Source organism: Homo sapiens, chromosome X (assembly GCF_000001405.40).
Source record: "Homo sapiens chromosome X, GRCh38.p14 Primary Assembly".
Lineage (NCBI taxonomy): Eukaryota > Metazoa > Chordata > Mammalia > Primates > Hominidae > Homo > Homo sapiens.
In genome coordinates this window covers 145,843,134-145,863,459 of record NC_000023.11, presented here as the reverse complement: position 1 = coordinate 145,863,459, position 20,326 = coordinate 145,843,134, and the positions used below count along the sequence as shown (strand labels likewise).

Sequence of the window (20,326 nt, the reverse complement as noted above, 5' to 3'; positions counted from 1 at the left end):
AGTGAAGCCAACTGGACTCTGCAAGCAAGGGTGTAAAGGAAATGTTTTGGTTTAATATTGATACATCTTGAACAAGACACAGCCATGATTGCCAGATTAGGGCAACTAGGACAGCAAGACTGGGGAATATGGGCTCTTAGGGAAGTACCAGAAATGGTCAAGATTGACTCAGGTGTAATCCCAGTTGCACCTGCAGATATCAGCTGATGAGGGCTTGAGAGAGATGGAGCTGAATAGCCATGGGGTTTCTGTCTGAGTGCATTATCCACCACTCTCACTCTCTCATCTTCTTACTCCCTCTTCCACAGGCAAGCGAAAGTGACCTAAGATGATGTGGAAGTTCTTAAGAAACGCCTGGACCTGGAAAGCCTAGTCCCTTTTCCTGTGTTTCTCTAGGAAGAAAGATGCTGCAGTAGGCTTTGTGTGAGTAGGTGTTTTTTTCTCTTTTTGAGGGAAGAGGCTAAATTTTCTATGTGAGTTGTCATTCTGTGTTAACAGGCACAGTGTCCTTAAGAGACTGAGGCAATCCATCAACTGGCTAAATACAGCAGGGGTTGGGAACCCTTGATCACCATGGGATTTTGTGGCACTCCCACTATCCCCCATCCAAACCCATAACTTTGAAAATCATAAAACTGGGGGGAACATTTTGGACTTTGGCATGATGCAGAATGGCATCTCAAGCTGATCTTATCCAGCTCTTAATGTGAAAGAGAACCTTAGTTGGTATGGGAGGTGCATATAATATTATTATTTGCAAAATCATTCTTTCAAATAGAATACTTAAAAATGCTTTTTCATCATTTTCATAGGGGAGGATTGAGAGTAACTATTTCCAACTCTTTCACAGGAATGACAACTAATGTGGTACTCTTGTGATAATTACAGTAAAATGATCTGATTTCATGCTGGTGCTGGATGATACTTTTCACTTGTCTGAGATCAGCCTGTCATTGATTTCCATATGAAAAAAGAATATGAAACACATAATTCATATACATGTTTGGCACACCGTTAAGTATATGGTTAATACGTATTGAATTAAATTCAGTTGGAATTTAGAAGTTATTACATGACCAATAGTATATAATTCACAGAGGCATGTGACATAAATTAAGCATTTATGGGTGGAAATGTGGTTCATTGCTTGTGGTTATCACACATATAATCAATATAGATAGATACAGATACGGTGAGAAATTATGTGACATCTGTTGTCAGTGTTTTTGGTTTGGTTTGGCCAAGAAGGCATTTGTGGGACTATTTGTTTCTTAGGAGGGGCCTAAAATTCAAGTTTTCTGCCTGAAGGTGACCAGTGATCTTCAGAGACATTTATCTTTGGCAGGAAACCAGCAAGCTTCCATTCAGACATTCATACTTCTTTCAGATCTTTCTTTATCTTCCTTCTTACACGTCATCCAAGGAATCACTATGATTGTCCTTCCAAGTGCCAGCTGATATTTTCGGCTTCCTGTCTCTTTGCCCAAGGGAAAAAATGCTGATTTCCTCTTTGCTATTTGGCAAATGTCAAAAGAAAAAGACTGGCTACGCTATGTATTCCTTTCAGCAGCATGAATGGACATCCTGTATTTTTTCTCCAAAGAAGATTTAACTAGCTAAAACTTAATTAGCCTAAACTCAAAGAGTTTTTCCTATTATTTCTCTATTGCTTCTCCTTCATTTGTTCCTTTCTGTTTCAAGAATTCCAATCCTATGTACTTAAGAATTTCACGGCCTTTACATCTTTGCATATTGTGTTTCTATCTCTTCAACCTTTTCTCTGGGTTTCAGGAGAAATTTTTAAATTCTTCTATTTTACAGATTTCGTTTTCTGTAATAATCTGTCTACTGTTCATTGCCTTGATGGTACTGGTTTTTTTTCATTCTGTAATTGCATATTTTATGTAAAAGCCATCTTGCGTGATTTCTCGTTGCTTTGTTTTAATCTATAAAATGTTCTCTTAAAACTCTTGGAGAATACAAATTATAATTTTTCTAATGTTTCCTTCAGTTCCATAGATGAAGTCTATTTCAGTGGTAGAAGTCTACCCTTATTCCTTGAACTAGTCTTTTTCTTCTGGACTACTGAATCTTTTCATATTGTTGAATATTTCATATTGGTGAATTGTTCTGTTTTCACATCCTAACCATGCAGTTGCTACTGAGTTTTGCTAGTTAGTACACATAATTTATTTTTGAAAAGAAAAGTGAAAGTTTGACATTTTTAAAGTTTCGTTTTGCTAGATTGAGGATCAAGTTCGTTGTAAATAAACGTGGAGAGGATTCCTGCAGATAGTGCTGCGCGCAGCAGTTTCTCTCCACGTTTTTGGTGGTAGCTTAAAGTTAGCTTGAAGACTGACCTCTTTGAAAATTGTCGTTGCTGCCTATCATGACCTGTTACAGCACTGGCCTCTCTCTTTTTAGCACATCGCCCCTGCTAGGGGTATTACGTAGGCGAGTGAATACTCCAGTTGTCACTTAGTGGTCTGGTGCTGGAGTAGTTCTCAGATCATTGTATTGTCCCCTTCCCCCACTGACCCATAGGTCCAGGGTCTTACTTACATTCACTTCCACAGGGGTCATGGGAATTCGAAGAAGGTCTGCTCAGGGATACCGTCTATTTACCTCTCATCTGGGTTTTTCATTCTTATGTGGAAGAACAACAGAATAATATAGCCCTAGACCTTCTCCTATCCATACCACACCCTTCGGAATGTTGCGATTCTTGCCTGTTGATGGGATCCTTCTGTTTTCCAGTAATAGTTTAAATTTTTATTTTTATATTTATGTGATTATTTTAATTAACAGGAGTGTTCAGTGCAGCATTGCTCTTTTATAGTGAACAGTCGAAAACTAGCAAAAAGTTAAATAGTTTGTATCCACTAAATACGAGACCATTCAAATTAATGTAAATCCACACTTGTTTCTAAGTGAAGAAAAAGTTACAACATTTATTGGATAGCATGATAACCATTTTATAAAATTAAATTACATGTAAGCAGAGAAAGAAAGATCTTGCCGTCCGTTGAAGTCATTCTAGCATTTAGGATTTGAAAAAAAAAAAAAATGTGTTGATCTGCCATCCCAAGTCCTGTGGGAAGTCTAGTATTTCCCCAATATTTTTGGGAATTCCTGACAATTTATATTCTCATGATCACTTCTGATTCAAAATCTGTGCTTCTTTTTAATTCTTGTGCTTCTCTTCCTCTTCCTGAAACTTGGTCACTATTCCTTTATTTCATTTTCCCAAACCATTTCTTTATTCATTCAACAAATATTGAATGAATTAAAAAAATTACTTTGTTAATGGTTGGGTCTTTATGTTCATTCTAAGATAGTTTATTGTTGTTAAGGAGGAGTTTCCCACTCTCATGGAGATTACATTTTCAACCAAGGCATTTGTAGATATGTTGCTGATGACTTGAGTGAATTCAGGGGCAGCTATTTAACACCCTTGTTCTTGAAATTCCTCTGCCTATTCTTTCACAAAGAATTCCTTACAGCCCCCTTCCCTTGAAGGTGCCACCTTCCTACCAGCCTGCTCAACTTTCAATTTCTTCACTTTATCTCTCATCGAATCCCTGTCCTTTATTTATTTTTTTTCCCAGAATAGTTTTTTTATTTCATTTCCTTCCTCTAATCACATGCATGGGACCTCATCATTCTCATCCTCAAGTACTTATTAAGGCATTTACCTAATCAGATACAGTCCGTTTCCTAAAAAGAACTCTCTCTAGTATTAGCTGTTAAAGTAATTCACTTTACTACTTCACTGAATGTTTTTGTAAGTCTAGAGAAATATATAAATTGTGACATCCAAATGGATGATATCATCTCAGGGCTCTGGGATTAGGGGTGATTTTCTTCCTTACTTCATTATTCATAATCTGAATTTTCTATTTTCCAATATAAATTTATATTACAAAAAAAATCTTTAAAAGCAAACAAGAAACCTTACTAAAACCCTCAATCTCTTCAGTTTACGTAATTAAAAACAGAATATAGTTGATCTCAACTTATCATTTCAGGTTCTCAAACTTTTCTGACAAGCATCTTATTTGTAAATCAAATAAGTTTCCTGAAAAGGGGACTGTAGTATATATTTTAAAACTAATTTCAACAACGTTCTTTAAAATAAGCACACAATTTGGGTATATACATATTACTAGCCAAAGAAAGGGTAGATTAAAACATGAAAGTGTTTTAATTTGGGGGGATGAATAGGGATTTACTGTAAATCTTTCTGTATGGTTTACATTTTTATCATCAGATGTATGTATTACTTTTATTTTAAAAGTTGAAAAGATAGAGGGCAGAGAAATGGGGGTTGAATAGAGGGCAGAGAAATGGGGGTTGAAAAGATGGAAATAAAACTTGAAAAGAAATGCATACACCAAATATAAAGCTTCTCTAGAGCCTTTCCATTTATTTTCTGTTAGAAAACATCCTTCATAGGTGATTTTGAGGAAAATCCTGGTTGACTGTGTTACAGAGTAGTACTTTACCCGACCTCGATTAATCACACTATAGTAAAAAAGAGAGTCTGCTACTGACAGACAAGACGAGCTGGATTTCCTAAGCCGACTAAGAATCCCTAAGCCTAGCTGGGAAGGTGACCACATCCACCTTTAGACACGGGGCTTGCAACTTAGCTCACACCCGACCAATCAGGTAGTAAAGAGAGCTCACTAAAATGCTAATTAGGCAAAAACAGGAGGTAAAGAAAGAGCCAATCATTTATCGCCTGAGAGCACAGTGGGAGGGACAATGATCGGGATATAAACCCAGGCATTCTAGCCAGCAACGGCTACCCTCTTTGGGTCCCCTCCCTTTGTAATGGAGCTCTGTTTTCACCCTATTAAATCTTGCAGCTGCACACTCTTCTGGTCCATGTTTGTTACTGCTTGAGCTGAGCTTTCGCTTGCTGTCCACCACTACTGTTTGCTGCTGTTGCAGTTGCAGACCCGCCGCTGACTTCCATCCCTCCAGATACGGCAGGGTGTCCGCTGTGCTCCTGTTGCCACTCCTGATTGGGCTAAAGGCTCGCCATTGTTCCTGCACGGCTAAGTGCCCGGGTTCATCCTAATTGAGCTGAACACTAGTCACTGGGTTCCACGGTTCTCTTCTGTGACCCACGGCTTCTAAGAGAGCTGTAACACTCACTGCATGGCCCAAGACTCCATTCCTTGGAATCCGTGAGGCTAAGAACCCCAGGTCAGAGAACATGAGGCTTGCCACCATCTTGGAAGAGGCCTGCCGCCATCTTGGAAGCAGCCCGCCACCATCTTGGGAGCTCTGGGAGCAAGGACCCCCACAGTAACACTGCTAAGTAGTTACATGACCTTAAGCAAGTCATTTCATCTAATACATATTTTGTGATCTTCAAAATGAGGGATTTGGACTATGTTGTGAATTATAAATCCCAAGTCCAACATTTTTATGACTCCATTTAAAATTAATTAAAACATCTAGAATAAAAGATGAAGAAGGATAAGTGTCAGTGGATAAAGATGCAAATAGCTGGTTCTGTAAGTAGAAAACAAGGGTCCATTCCACTGAGAAAAAATTGTTAAAGGCCTATACCTGCTTTGACAACCTTGTAACATACAGAGCGCAGAACTGACACTATCTTAATTCTTCATTGCCAAGCATTTTCTATATAGATTGTGATTTTTTTTTCCGATGGCAAAAAGTGATCTCATTTTATAGAATGTGTAAGCTATTTGGTTTCCAACCAACTGTGCTGAGTGCATCTACTCTGTAGAGAGAAGGATGCTGGAACCTAGATGTATAAAGCACTGATCTATAAAGCACTTTATAGGTGCTTTATAGGATACTGGAACCTAGATGTATAAAGAACCCTGGGCTAATCCCTGGTAATGACTGACCCAAAGGTGCCTCAAGGAAATGTCAGGCACTTTGCAAAGCCACACTTCATCCTTCAGATCAATTTGAAAAATACTACGTTGCTTTAATTCTTGAAACAATGTCCCTAGCAAGATGAAAGAGTGCTACTTCTCTAAGTGCGTGGATTTGGCAATAAAATATCTGGCCCTTCTTGTACCCAAATTAAAACTAACGTTTTTATAGTCCTATCACTTTTATGAACATAACGCAAGACAACTTCCTCTGCTTCAGTACAAGGATACGGAACTCGAATCTGTAATATAAATGAGGCTTTAGGAATCTGGTTTCAATAAAATTCTATTCTTCTTATTGAAAATTACAAAGTACCCCCAAAACAGTGGAGGCGACAGTTTTATAAAAATGAGTACCTACCATTCTGGCCAACTGAATTCAAAAGGTTTCCCCCTGTCCAAGAGAGAGGAGCAAACTCTTAAGAGAAAGGATTATAGTATTTATCGGGTCCAGGTTTGTTGCTGTCATTTCACTCTTAGTTCCTTAAGCCAGGTTTCCCCTATTGCCTCTTCCATATGACACTCACTGTGAGTTCTTCAGGCCATTTTCAAATGTCTACTAAATGTATTGTTCCAAGTATGCTCGAAGGATCTAAATCATAATGCCCTCATTCTGTCATATTTATTTAAATGTATATTGGTGTGTAGGCTTATTTTATTATTAAAAAAGATATCACCCTTTTTGCTCTGTCTAATCTAAACAATCTTTAACTGTGTCAAGCAAGGAATTAATTAGTTTTATATTTCTCATGTTAATTTCTCCGGCTTTCCCAGTTAGTTCCAATGGAGGTTTGTTTTATTAGCTTAATAACACTTTTTTTCCTTCTGTGCTACTAAGATTTTTCATAAAAAATTTAAGGATTTCATATGGGGCTGAATAAATAGAAAATAATTGAATGACAAGGCTGATAATATGGGCCTCTCCAGGTACCCAGCTGTTGTAACCCCATCAAGTCTGTAAGGAGTACTGGCTCTGTCCCGCGTGTGCCATGGCATCTTGGCAATGGACCGATCTGGTATCAAGACAGTCATCTCTGCATGAGCACAGAAGGGTAGGAGGAGAATGCAGGCAAGTGGACTATTTATTTAAAGGCAAAATTTCAAGGGGCTGACCTACCACATCAGGGACAATGACTAATGTGTTCTACAGAGAGAAACGAAGCAGAGGAACAACTATTCCCAAAGGTTAGATGCCATCCATTGAACTCCATTAAGCAATCAAATACCCCAGATGACTCAGAGTCACACTGTTTCTTATGTTGGGAAAACTTGCACTCCACCCATCTCATCCATTAATGCCTCAGCCCCTCAGCAAGGAAGGTCTCCAACCTGAGAGGTTATGTAATTATAAGGAGAATGCTAATTGAGAGGGGGCTAACTTGAGGAGGGCTCTAGTAGGCTCAATTTTAGTTATTATTCTTCAGGGAAGAAAACATTAGGCAAGGAGAGCTCTGGAAGTAGCAGCCAGGGGAACACTTGTGACTGAGGAGTTTAAGGGATGTTCTTTAAGATCCACAACATCTTAAAGGGACTGCAAAGGACTAAAGGAAACAGATGTGATGGCACAAGTCCTGGAGGTGCTACAGTGGCCTATTACTTTTTCTCCTTTTTTTTTTTCCTTTTTAAAAATCGTGGTAAAATAAGCTAACATAAAATTTACCATCTTAACCATTTTTAAGTGAATAGTTTAGTGATGTTAAGTAAATTCATAGTGCCACGATCCATCCACAGAACTCTTTTCATCTTCCCAAACTGAATCTCTGTACTCATTAAACACTAACTTCCCCACCCCCGTCCCCCCAGCCCCTGGCACTCAACATTCTGCTTTCTCTCACTATGAGTTTGATGACTCCAGGAACCTCAAATAAGTAGAATCACACAGTATTTGTGTCTTTGTTGCTGGCTTCTTTCACTTAGCATGATGTCCTCAAGGTTCATCCATGTTGTAGCATGTAGCATGTGCCATAATTTCCTTTTTTTTTTTTTTTGAGACAGAGTCTTGCCCCTGTTGCCCAAGCTGGAGTGCAGTGGCGTGATCTGGGCTCACTGCAACCTCTGCCTCCTGGGTTCAAGCAATTCTCCTGCCTCAGCTTCCTGGGTAGCTGGGATTACAAGTGCGTGCCACCACGCCTGGCTAATTTTTTGTATTTTTAGTAGAGACGGGGTTTCACGGTGTTGGCCAGGCTGGTCTCGAACTCCTGACCTCGTGATCTGCCTGCCTCAGCCTCCCAAAGTGCTGGGATTACAGGTGTGAGCCACCATGCCCAGCCAATTTCCTTTTTTAAAAGACTGAATAATAATATTCCATTGTATGGATAGACCACTTTTCATTTGCCCTTTCATTGGTTGATGGATACTTGGGATACAATGGACTGTTTCTGAATTAAAACCAGATTGTTCCTGGACACTATCTAGAACTAAGTTGCCAAGAGTGTGTATTATAGAAAAGTTCCTGGGACACCAGCAAGGTCCTATTCACAACAGTTCAGCTTTCTGAGAAAATAACCAAAATGACAAAAAAAACTACGCAGCATAATTGAATTGCCGTTTGGTGGGAAGAAGGAAACAGCACCTATTTAGTACATTTGCTTGGTTGCTTGTGGTTTTGATAATACTTTTTTACTAGAGTGATAATCACAAGTTTAAATAAAATTCGGAAAGCACCGAATCTCTCTTAAAACACATTTAATAATTTCATATTTCTGTCCAATGAACTAAATTTCTTAGTATTGTGTGAAAGTTCACCTTGTAAAGATGTATAAAATCCTGTAGGCTTTTGATGCATTATGGATGTAAAGTGGTGCTTTTTTAAGAGCAAAATGCATATTTCATACTTTCCAAAACAGTTTATGTTTTAAAAGATAACATTCATTTGTCTTAAAAAGATCTTTTACAAGCTTTGGGAATGTAAAAAAGCATTCATAACGGGCTAGTACACGGGTTTTCAACTTGCTGTTATGTCACGATCTGATATCTGATGCCCTTTCTTAATCCTCTTCTAATATTCTCTCTCATCTATATTTTTCACTCTCCTTTCAAAGTCAATTTCCCCCTTTTCTATTCTTCCTTCCTTACATATTTCTTAGCCTTGCCCATGCCTCAGCCTGCTGTATACTGCTGTGTGTCTTCATAAACATTATTCAACCCTGCTGATGGCTCTGAGGGAAAGAGCAGATGTGGGTGGAATGTGACAGCCAGCTAAGAGATCCTTCGACTCCCTCACCAGCACAAATGAATACTTGAAAATTGCCCTAAAACATGTTAGCTTACAATGAGTTATTAGAGACAAATAACATACAGATGGAATGTTCTTGCTAATCGAAGGAAATTTGAAATAGTTATTTTGTTTTTAAGAAGATTAATTGCTGATTTGGCTCTTTAAGGCATTTACCATACTAAATAATGCAAACAGTTAGTGGTGATATAAATTCCCCCCTATTATGGATAAATGTCTGAAAAGGCAAATGTTTTCAGTAAGACTTTTCCAAGGGTTCTTTTCTTACCTGAGCCTCATAGATGTTTTTATTTCTTCATAGTCTTAAGTGTAGTCCATATTTAAATTTGGCTCATTTCAAATCCATGCTGGTATTAATGTGAACATGAACATAAATAACAACATTTTCCCATGCTTTCAATAGCTGTTGGCTTTGGTTACTGCCAAATAGATTTGGTTATATTCATCAAACCCTAAGTCACCAAAACACTAGTTCCTCAGATGAAAGAACAGGTTGCCACTGGTTATATGAAGCCATGGTTTAATAACTTTTTCTGTCTCTCTCCCTCCCTCTCTCTTTCTCTTTTACCCCCTTTTTGCACTCTCTGTCTCTCCTCTCTTTCTGTGCTTCTCTCTTTCGGTTTCTCTCTCTCCCTCCCTACATACAAACACACAGACACACACAGACACACACAGACACACACAGACAGACACACACAGACACACACACGCACACAGACGTCCACACACGCAGACACACACACATGCGCACACAGACACATACAGACACACACGCACATACACACACACACAGACACGCAGACACACACAGAGACACACACACACACAGACACACACACACAGACACACAGACACACACAGACACACACACACATGCACACAGACAGACACACACAAACACGTATGCACACAGACACACACGCACATACACAGACACACGCAGACACACACAGACACACACACGCACGCAGACACACACGCACATAGACACACACAGACAGACACACAGACACACACGCACACAGACACACACATGCACACACACACACGCACATACACACAGAGACACATACATAGACACACACGCAGACACACACACAGACACACACACAGACACACACACACAGTGCTTCTTTCCACTTAAGCTGGGCAATCTTAAGCAAATGCATTCCTCTCTCTTTCCCTGACTTTCTCTCTCTATAAAAAGAAGTTAGACTAAATGATCTTTAAGACCCTTTCTGGCTCAGACATGCTTTGCTTTAAAGTCTATGAATAAACATGACACCAATATCCACATTGCTACTTCCCTTTTAAAATGACCTATACTCTGGGAAAGAGAGTTTGATGAATGTTGTAAAAAATCACTTCCTGGAAATGAGATGAGCTGTTTTCATAATGAATATGATTTCATGCACCTAGCTTTTAAAGAAGCATTTTACCTGCTTGGTTTCTAAATTGCAGATTATCATGGCATTAAGAAAATTAATGGTTAACATTTATAGACATTTACAAAATCCACTCCACATTGATAAGTTCTGAAGCATAGCCTAGTGACTTTCCCGATAAGGTTACTATTTCTTTTGTACAGCTGAAAACCTTAAAGGTGAATTACTGGTGAATTGATATATAGTACTATAGCCAACGTATTTAAATTTAAATTTGTCATATGTCAGTATGTACTGAACACACCATAAAGCTAGCTGCAAGTGTTTCATTTACTTTTAAAAAGTGGCATATAATAGTATTTCTGAGAGAAATAAGTTTATTTAATTGACTGATGATGATTCTCATCTCTTTAAAATAAAGTGCATCTAAATATATATTTGTCTTGCTGAGCCCAAACCAATGAAAAAGCATGCTTATTACTTGCTACGTCAAGTATCACCCATAGCTTCATAAGCAGACTGAGATTAATGGTAGGGGTACCTGTAACCAAGGTATTAAACTATTGATTTGGGAAGACACGTAACGCTTCTGATTTTATCTTCAAAATATCTCTGAGCATCAGCAACGGTAAGCAAATAAAATGTGATGCGATATGGATTGTGCTAAGTTATTTCCTCCTCAAACTTCCATTCATCAGAGAAACTGGAAAGGATGGACAGCTCCAGACGCTGGAAAGGAGAATCACCTTAATGGTGGATGTCTCTTACTTTGTTGTCTTCATAGGGCATCACTGCCCGGGAAGGAAAACATACTGTGAACCGAGTTGGTCCCATGAGTCTGAGGCAACATGATAGATGTCTGGCTGGCCTCTCTTATAAGTCATAATATTGCTCTTGACTTTTCAGATAGAATGCCTACATAAGCGTTCTGAAAATGCACCCTTGTGTTGTGGGATTTGGGCTTGTGGGAAAATCCCAATGTACGTAATCTAACTGGGCTTAGTTTTAAATAATAGAGAAAGTCTTCTGTATTTATTTACCTTTCTTTCTTTCTTTCTTTCTTTCTTTTCTCTTTCCTCTCTTACATAGTCAGATATTAGATGTTGAAAAAGAAACAAGAATGTGTAAAATTTATGACTTGGTAGCTGAAATGAAAAGAAGGGATAAAAGAAGAAAGGGAAAAGAAGTTTGGTGCCAAAGTGATCTAGGTGTGAACTACAATTGCTGATCATGATGTTCTACATATCTACTAAGGATATGGCCAGAAAATTGTCTCCAAGAGTCCTAGCAGCCATTAGGAAAAAAAGAGGATCTATGTGCTGCAAAATCCACAATGTCCATGAAGTAGAAATATATTAAGTATGCAATGGATATGTAATCATTCTTTGTAGAGAGAAAGGCCAGGAATTTTTCCCGGGCATCCATGTATACAGTAGTATTGGTCATCTAATGACTAAAGTCTCGAACACTATCTCTACATGTAACAATGAGTTACAGTGGGTTTTTATTTACCATGGCCCTTTTTTTGGGACAGGCACTCACTTTGTTGCCCAGGCTGGAGTGCAGTGGCACCATCGTAGCTCACTGTGGCTTCTACCTCCCAGGCTCAATTGATCCTCCCACCTCAGCTTCCCAAGTAGCTGGGACTGTAGGTGCATGCCACTATGCCCAGTGCCTGAGTAATTTTTTCTTTTCTTTCTTTTTCATTTTTTTAGAGATAAGATCTCACTTTGTTGTCCAGACTGGTCTCAAACTCCTGGACTCAAGTAATCCTCCTGTCTTGGCCTCTCAAAGTGCTGGTATTACAGGCCTGAGCCACAGCAGCTGGCCACCACGACTCTTAATAGAGGTTAAAGGTGTAGTATCATTCCAAAGCATAATTTGGGAAAAGACATTCTGCTGGATGGGCAGGATGATTACATCTATGTGCCTAGCTATCTGCGGACATACTCGAATCCAGGGATGTATTGGAAGAGTGGAGGGACCATGTCTGCTCTTAGAAATTCTTCCACATAAGGAGATGTTCATTTCAACTCAGCTTTTGACCAGAATTGAGTGGCAAAGAACTTGGGATTTTGTCTCATAAATAGTTAGAGCCCTGCTGCTTTATGTTGCAGTTGAATGTATATACAACCAGATCTGCATGATTTTACCAAGAGTAGAGCTGGGAAAAGTGTAAATATCATTTTCTTGAAGTTGAGAAATGATGAGATAAAGACAGTTGAAATATATTATGAAATGAAAGTACTAATTAGATTAATTGAATACTTGTCAGGCCTTGTTCAAAGTACTTTGTATGCATGATCGCATTTACTCATCATATCAACCATTCTTATACCAATTTTCCACATGAGGATATTGAATATCCGGGAAGTTAAGAAACTTGCCCAATAACCTACAAGTTGGAAGTGATGAAGCCAGGATTTAAAACCTGGCTACAGATTCCACATTCTTAACTACTATAATACATCGCCTCCTTGTGAGAGTGCTCCCCTCACTACTCCAAAATGATACCTCTAAAAGGAGCAGAGGGCCACGAGACAGCAGATAATTTCACAAAAACAGCTTGGCTATGATGCAGATTGGATTATCCAAGTAGAACAATGTGGGTACTCCCCAGATTTTGGCCTGGCAGTCAGAGGGAAGAGATCTGCAGTTGAAATCAGGCTTCCTGGCTTTGAGTCCTTTGAATACAACCTTTGATAAGTTTCTACTCCTCTTTGGCTCGGTTTCCCCAACTGTACAATGAGAGTTTTGAACTAGAATCTAGAGCGTCTTCACCAGGGGCACATAGTAATGTCACCTGGGTAACTTTCAAAGTGATAGGGAAGGGAAGTCCTGGGAAGGGAAGAGCATGGTCCCTTTAAATGATACGGAAGTGGGGGAGGGAAGTGCTGGGTAGAGGAGGGCATGGTCTTTGCCTAGGGCCCCGCCCCCACGTACCTAGGTGAGGACAGGCGTTTCTTGCCTAAATGTTGCATTTCCCAAGACCACCCTGGCCTGCCACACCCCCATCCTGTGCCTGTAAAGACCTGGAGACTGGCTGGGCGCGGTGGGTCACGCCTGTAATTCCAGCACTTTGGGAGCCCAAGGCCGGCGGATCACGAGGTCAGGAGATTGAGACCGTCCTGGCAAACATGGTGAAACCCCGTCTCTACTAAAAATACAAAAATTAGCTGGGCGTGGTGGCGCACGCCTGTAGTCCCAGCTACTCGGGAGGCTGAGGCACGAGAATCGCTTGAACCTGGGAGGTGGAGCTTGCAGTGAGCCGAGATCGCACCACTGCACTCCAGCCTGGCGACAGAGCGAGACTCCGTCTCAGACAAAACAAAAGAAAACAAAACAAAAACAAACGAACAGAAAAACCGGAGAGGACCCTAGCAGGCAGATACAGAGGCAGCTGGACGTCTAGAGGAGCACATCAGCGGAGGAACACACAGGCGGCTGGACACCAAGCCACCGATTGGAAGAAGCAGAATGATGTGGAGTTTGTCTGGGTCAGTCAGAGGAGAGCCCAGGTCGCTGAGTAGCCAGATTCCACTCCATCCCCTTCTGACTTACCCTGAGCTACCTCCACTCAATAAAACCTCGTACTCATTCTCCAAGCCCAGGTGTGATCCAATTCTTCCAGTACACCAAGGCAAGAACCCGGGATACGGAAAGCCCTCTGTCCTTGCTACAAGAAAGAGGGCCTAATTGAGCGAGTTAGCACAAACCACCTATAGATGGCAAAACGAAAAGAGCACCCTGTAACACATACCCACTGGGGCTTCAGGAGCTGTAAACATTCACCCCTAGACACTGCGGTGGGGTCGGAACCCCACAGCCTGCCCGTCTGCGTGCTCCCCTAGAGGTTTGAGAAGCGGGGCACTGAAAAAGCGAGCCACACCCCCATCACGTGCCCTTTGAGGGGGACAAGGGAATTTTTCCCGTTTCAAAAGCACATATGCTCAGGCCCTCCTCCAGACTTACTGAGCTCCCATCGTGAGCTAGATGCTGTGGAGGACATTGGGATAAGTTTTAAAAGACAAGTTTCTCCTTTGCAAAGGCCATTATGGTTTGATGCACGAATAGATAATTCTGCCTATGTAGAGGTTTTTGTTGGGCTAAAAGCTAGAGGTACTTGTATGAATGTAGCTCTGTGTATAAAAGCAGAAACAACATTATTACTCTTTCATGGTGAAGGACACTTGGAAAGGGGCCATGGGGGAAAGCTGAGAAGCAACAGCTAAAGCAAGCCTATAAGGACTCAGGAAAGCTGCTGAAGTGAGCGAACCCCGAGCACTGGCTACTGAAGTGAGGAAGGCATGAATAGCAGTAGGGAGTTTGAGAGCAGACCTAGGCATGTTAGGAATCCCAATAAAGCAATGAGGAATGAGGACAAGCACACTGGCTTTTTTTTTTTTTTTTTTTTTTTTTTTTTGCTACTGGTACTGACTAGAACACTCAGATTTGCCATTTACCAGCTGTGTCACAGAGGGCGTATTTATTTGATTTCCCTGAGCTTCAGTTTCTGTGATTGGAATATGGAGACAAACAGTACACTAGAGTCATGGGGGTTTTATTTGGATTTTGTCTTGTTCTTACTTTTTCTTTAAAATTTATTGTATCCTTTCTACTTGCCAGGCACTGTTCTAAGGGCTTTATGAGTGTTATCTCATTTCGTCTTCACCAGACCCCAAGGAGCAGGTCCAAGACACCGAGCGGTCAGTCTCGATCCACTTAGTTTAATTCCAGAGGCTACACTCAGTCTCTGAGGGAAGGTGGGTGCTCAGGAATTACTTGTTTCCCTATCCTTTCTTTCTGCTTAGCATGGGCAACTGTTCCAAATGGACAGAAGCTACTAAATTGCTTCTTTACAAGCTAAGTCCATTAAATTCTCTCCGTTATGAAAATGGCTTCTCTCGTTCCAGAAAGTGCTTTTTACAAGATTCATTAAACTCCCTTTCCCGTGTTCATGTCATTTTATGAGGATAGCAGAAATATAGCTATTAGTGCCATGGGTTGTCATAGACTTGTAGAACACCAGTGTTAGAGCTCTAAAGGCCCTTGGAAATCCTCTAGTTTACTCCTCTCATTTTACACATGGGGTAACTGAGGCTCTGAGTAGGTAAGTGATTTAACCATGAAAACCCACCAAGCTTGTGACTGTTCTCTGACTCCTAAGTCTATCCCCTTTCCACTTGATGACTCACTAACACCAATCAGAAATCTTGTGAGCATATATACCATTGGTGATTCATTCATTCATTCAACGGATATTATTGGAGCATTTACTATATGCCAGGCACTGTGCAAAGTCCTGGACTGAAAGAAATAGGCAGGAGGTTATGGTCGCCTTAGACAACACATCTTCACTATTACTGGAAGAGGGTGGGAGATAGAGGAGAGCAACGAAAACCCTGTACATCAGCAATTCTTGACTTTGGCTACTTACTAAAATTGCCTCAGGATCAGTTTAAAATGCCAATGCAAAAAAATATCTACAGACCCATCCTACACAAGTTGAATAAGAATCTGTGCATAGGGTCTGGGCATCCGTGGTTCCCCCTGTGATTTTAATGTGACCCTAGAGTTGGTAACCACTACTCCAAGCGTGTGGTCTTCTAAAATAGATGAGAAGTGTACAGAAAGGATGGTCCTTACACTAAGACTTAGCAGGAAATTGCTGTTGTAGGTTAACAAAAGCCTGGCCGGAGAGGCAATGGCTCTGGGAACAACCAAAATATATTAAACTGAAGCTCATATCCTGGCATATTCATGAGTTGGTCAAGCCCCACTGCAAGATATTGGGCGATTTCTCATTACTTACATTGAGATGTGAAAAAATTGTGAATCACTTGTTGAATGCCAAGCGCTCTACTAGGCACTTCGACATATATGAGTGAATGTAAGTAACCCTTAAACCACTGTGTAGTAGGTGCAATTATTATGCTCAATTTCCAGTTGAGGAAACTGAGAACCGAGAGGGCAAACTTGCTCCAGATCACAGAGGATGTGGCAGAACCAAGATTGGGACAAATGTTTTCTAACTTCAAGACTCTTTTCCACCATGTCATATTGCAAAGAAGGCATTTTCTAAAACAAACATGTTATGCTATTGGATCATGTGCGATTTAAATTGTACAGCCATTGTGATCATCAATCTCATGTTAGGCTGGTCTTTTCTTGCCCTGATTCTTTTCTCCCTCATCATGCCTGCCTGCTTGCTGTATGTCTTCCTGCTATTGCAGCCACAGGTGCAATCATGAAAGACACAAAAAAGGAAGACACTTGCCATTCAACCCTCTCTTTTCCCGGAGGAATGAATATGTCATACCTTTGACTTTGAAATCACTTCCTGTAATGAGTTTTGCCAAAGAAGAGGCACAAAGAATTGTGTCTTATTCTTAGCACATATTCTCAGCATGCCTTTTAATGACTCCCATGGAACCAGTTCTATGCATGCTGTGTTTCTGTCTATACTGAGCATTAGCAAGCACAAACAAACATTTCTCTACAGTGGTTTGAAATTAGCAAGACAATGTTGGATACATTTCTGCTCTATTGTTGCTAAAAACTAAAATATGTATTTACTTTCCTCTGAAGTAACCAAAAATTTCTGTCTACACTGTGCCTGTCTGTTTTGGCTGCATTTAAGGAAAGCACACCAGTTGACATACTGTGTAGATTTCAGCCCTGGCCTGCAAGTATTTTCATCTGCTTCTTGGAGGTGGTAGGGAGAGTGATGGAAGTATTTTTACTTCATCTGTTGGCAGCCCATTCACACGTCCAACGTGCTCATAAAAAGTCTCTGCAATGAAAAGCCAGCATAGGGTGTCAGAAGAAATAAAAGGCAAACCAAATTTAATCTGGGGATTTTTATGGGTATGGCGAGGGAAAAGTAAATGTCACAGTGCTGCCTGCAAGATGCTACCACTTGCATGCCAGCTTCCCTTTCCAGTGTGGCTTATCAACGAAGTTCAGTAGCCACTGAATGAGAAGCTTTTTGGAATAAAAACATGTTCACACACACAGTGGCTCCGCAGACGTTCATGCCCAGAGGAAGACAGGCTGCATCGTGCAACATCCGAAGTTTATGCATAGTATTGACACTGGGGAGCAGTGGCATATGTGATGTCTGCCATATCCCCTGAAGTCTTTTGTGCTCAGGCAGGGGGTGGGGTTGGTATGACGGAATCATAATCATAAAAAAAACTCATTAGAACACACAACCACTATTGTTTAATGCTACTCTCTGGCAGAAGGATGAGGCCTCTGTGCTCCAGTTGCCAGGGTAAATTAGATAGTCAAATTGAACGTCCAAACCTCTCACTAAAGAGGTAAGAGATCATTAGTGTCTCACAAAATAATGTTGAGTTTTCTCTCACTTTCCTAGTGACAGTTCAGGCCTGGTTTTCATATTCTGTCCAGAGACTTTAAACATCATCAAGTACGTTGGCTTTTATAAATGTTGCGTGGATAGACGTGCTTTTTTTAAAGTGCTTGGTAAGACCATAACAAGTGTGCTATGCAGATTGCCAAAAACCCTTCCCAGAAAATTGAAAAAACTTGGTTCCTTTGTTCCAGAACCTTACAGTGTGATCTGTGACTGTCCTGAAGCTCTGCGTCATGACAGTGTTGCCTTCAAATACTCTGGGTTACTATCTGGGCTGCTGCAGGACATTCAGTAAGGGATGCTCTCAGGCACTTGGAGGAGAACAACACTATGTTTCTTCTACAATGAGCATCTCCCTTGGCTGTACATCTCCGTAAGCGAGTTGAAAATGGGAACAGCAAAAGCTCTGTGCCACATGAAGCCTGCTGGACCTTGCATATCAGACAAACCAGCGCTCTGACGGGCACGTGGTGTTTTGCCTCTGCTCTTGCTCCCAGTAGCATGGCTGCTTGGGCTCTTGACACTGCCAAAATTTTGGGGGGACATAAAAGGTTGCCAGGGCGGGGCTGAGCGCCATGATAAGAGAGCAGAGAAATATATCAATGAAGGGAATTTTTCTTTTTTTTTCCCCCTCATAACTCCAAACTAAAAATAAACCACAAAACATTATAACCACCACAAATACGAACCAGCATGGGGGAAAACACTCACAAGAATGTGCACACGCACATACACACAAGCTCACTGATAGGGTGGTTGTGAACATGGCATGAATTTATACATGCAAAGCACTCAGAATATTGTATGGCAGAAATTAAGTGCTATATAATTGTTTGTTATTATTATTATTTGCATTAAGATGGGCATATGTCCATGTTGGATCAATCAAAAGAATAAAACACCCCATAGTTGCCCAATATATTTCCTTCATATTCAAGTCTTAACAAGAATGGATCAAGCTGTAAGAGGACTCATCTTTGCACATTAAAATTAATACAGGAAGAAAAAAGAAAGAAAGAATGAGAGCAGTTAGGATGATGCTAACTAACCACAGAAAGCAAACAGAGGCCAGATGTGGTGGCTCACGCCTGTAATCCCAGCACTTTGGGACGCCGAGGTGGGCGGATCACCTGAGGTCAGGAGTTCCAGACCAGCCTGACCTTAAGTCAGGTGAAACCTGGTGAAATCCGGCCTCTACTAAAAAAGAAACCCATCTCTACTAAAAACAAAACAAAACAAAACAAAACCATCTCTACTAAAAAAATACAAAAATTAACTGGGTGTGGTGGTGGGCACCTATAATCCCACCTACTCAGGAGGCTGAGGCAGGAGAATTGCTTAAACCCGGGAGGTGGAGGTTGCAGTGACCAGAGATCATGCCACTGCACTCTAGCCTGGGTGACAGAGCGAGACTCCGTCTCAAAAAAGAAAGAAGAAAAAAAAAGGAAAGATAAAGAAGGCAAAGAAAAAAAAAATGGTGGTATTTAATGGTATCCTAAGCAGAACCCAGAAGAAAAACACATATCACTTGGTTGGATAAGATCACCAAAGATACTTCAGAAAATCTTTTCAGAACCATCCCCCTACACACATACATGCACATCTTGAATATTAGGAGTCTTTTAAACAGCTATGTGATTACAAAGGTGAAATGTTCTCAGGCTTATGTTAATAGAAACCAAATGCTGAAATTTTTTTCCTGCCTGCTTACCTTCTGCCTGAGGTCAGAGCACCCCCGCTTTATGTAGTATGGTGGTCAGGCTCTCCCTATTTATTTAGCACAACCTAGACTGAACCACCCCTGTTCAACATCTGGATGCAGGAGAGGCTGTCCATAGCTGTGATTTGTGAATGGCTGATATCCACCAGGGTGCTTCTCATGCATAAGCCTAATTCATCGTCCTGTTCAATTTTCTTTTCAAGTTATCATGCGTGAGACATATTTAGAATCCTGGAATGTGAGAGCCAGAAAGAGTCTTTGAGATCAACTTGTCCAACCTCCTCATTTTACACTCACAACTGATAACTGCATTCCAATTTGTCACCAACATCGCTTCTGGCATAATTAGGGCGGCTAGCACTGGGAAAATGGGAACTGCTCCTCTTCCCCACATTCTCAGAAAGGCCAAGGTCACAGCCACCCCTCCCCCAGGCAGCCTCACACACAGTTTTCACTGTTTCCTTTCTGCTGCTGTGTGAGGCAGCTTATAAGCAACAGCTTTTTGTTGCTGAGGGAAGAACAAAACCCTGGCCTGCCAGCAGTGGAAAGATTTATAAGAGCTCAAAGAAGGTCAAAAGGCTAAATTACCCTGTGACTTGTATGTAATCGGCATCTTCTAGCGTGCTACAGGATGAGGCTGATTACATGGAAGGCAAAGGTGAAGAAAAAAGAGCATAAATAATCAAAGAA

At 40.8% G+C, this 20,326-nt stretch overlaps 1 long non-coding RNA gene across 1 annotated transcript in view, besides 1 other annotated feature; it reads right to left on the bottom strand.

Annotated features, from left to right (window-relative positions):
* Positions 1 to 19,770, bottom strand: part of LOC107985703 (uncharacterized) — a 31,957-nt gene extending 12,187 nt beyond the window's left edge. Inside the window, exons 1-2 of the long non-coding RNA XR_001755968.1 lie at positions 19,628 to 19,770; positions 17,201 to 17,331 (exon numbers count right to left, since the gene is read on the bottom strand). This is a non-coding gene — a long non-coding RNA (uncharacterized LOC107985703). The remainder of the gene's footprint in view (positions 1 to 17,200; positions 17,332 to 19,627) is intronic.
* Positions 4,330 to 5,529: an enhancer, noted in NCBI's record as "MED14-independent group 3 enhancer chrX:144939449-144940648 (GRCh37/hg19 assembly coordinates)". NCBI's record gives its function as "activates an origin of replication core promoter dependent on BRD2, BRD4, P300/CBP and CDK7 cofactors, and independent of MED14, by STARR-seq in HCT116 cells {active_cell/tissue: HCT116}" and the evidence as "EXISTENCE:reporter gene assay evidence [ECO:0000049][PMID:35650434]".
* Positions 19,771 to 20,326: the final 556 nt, after the last annotated feature.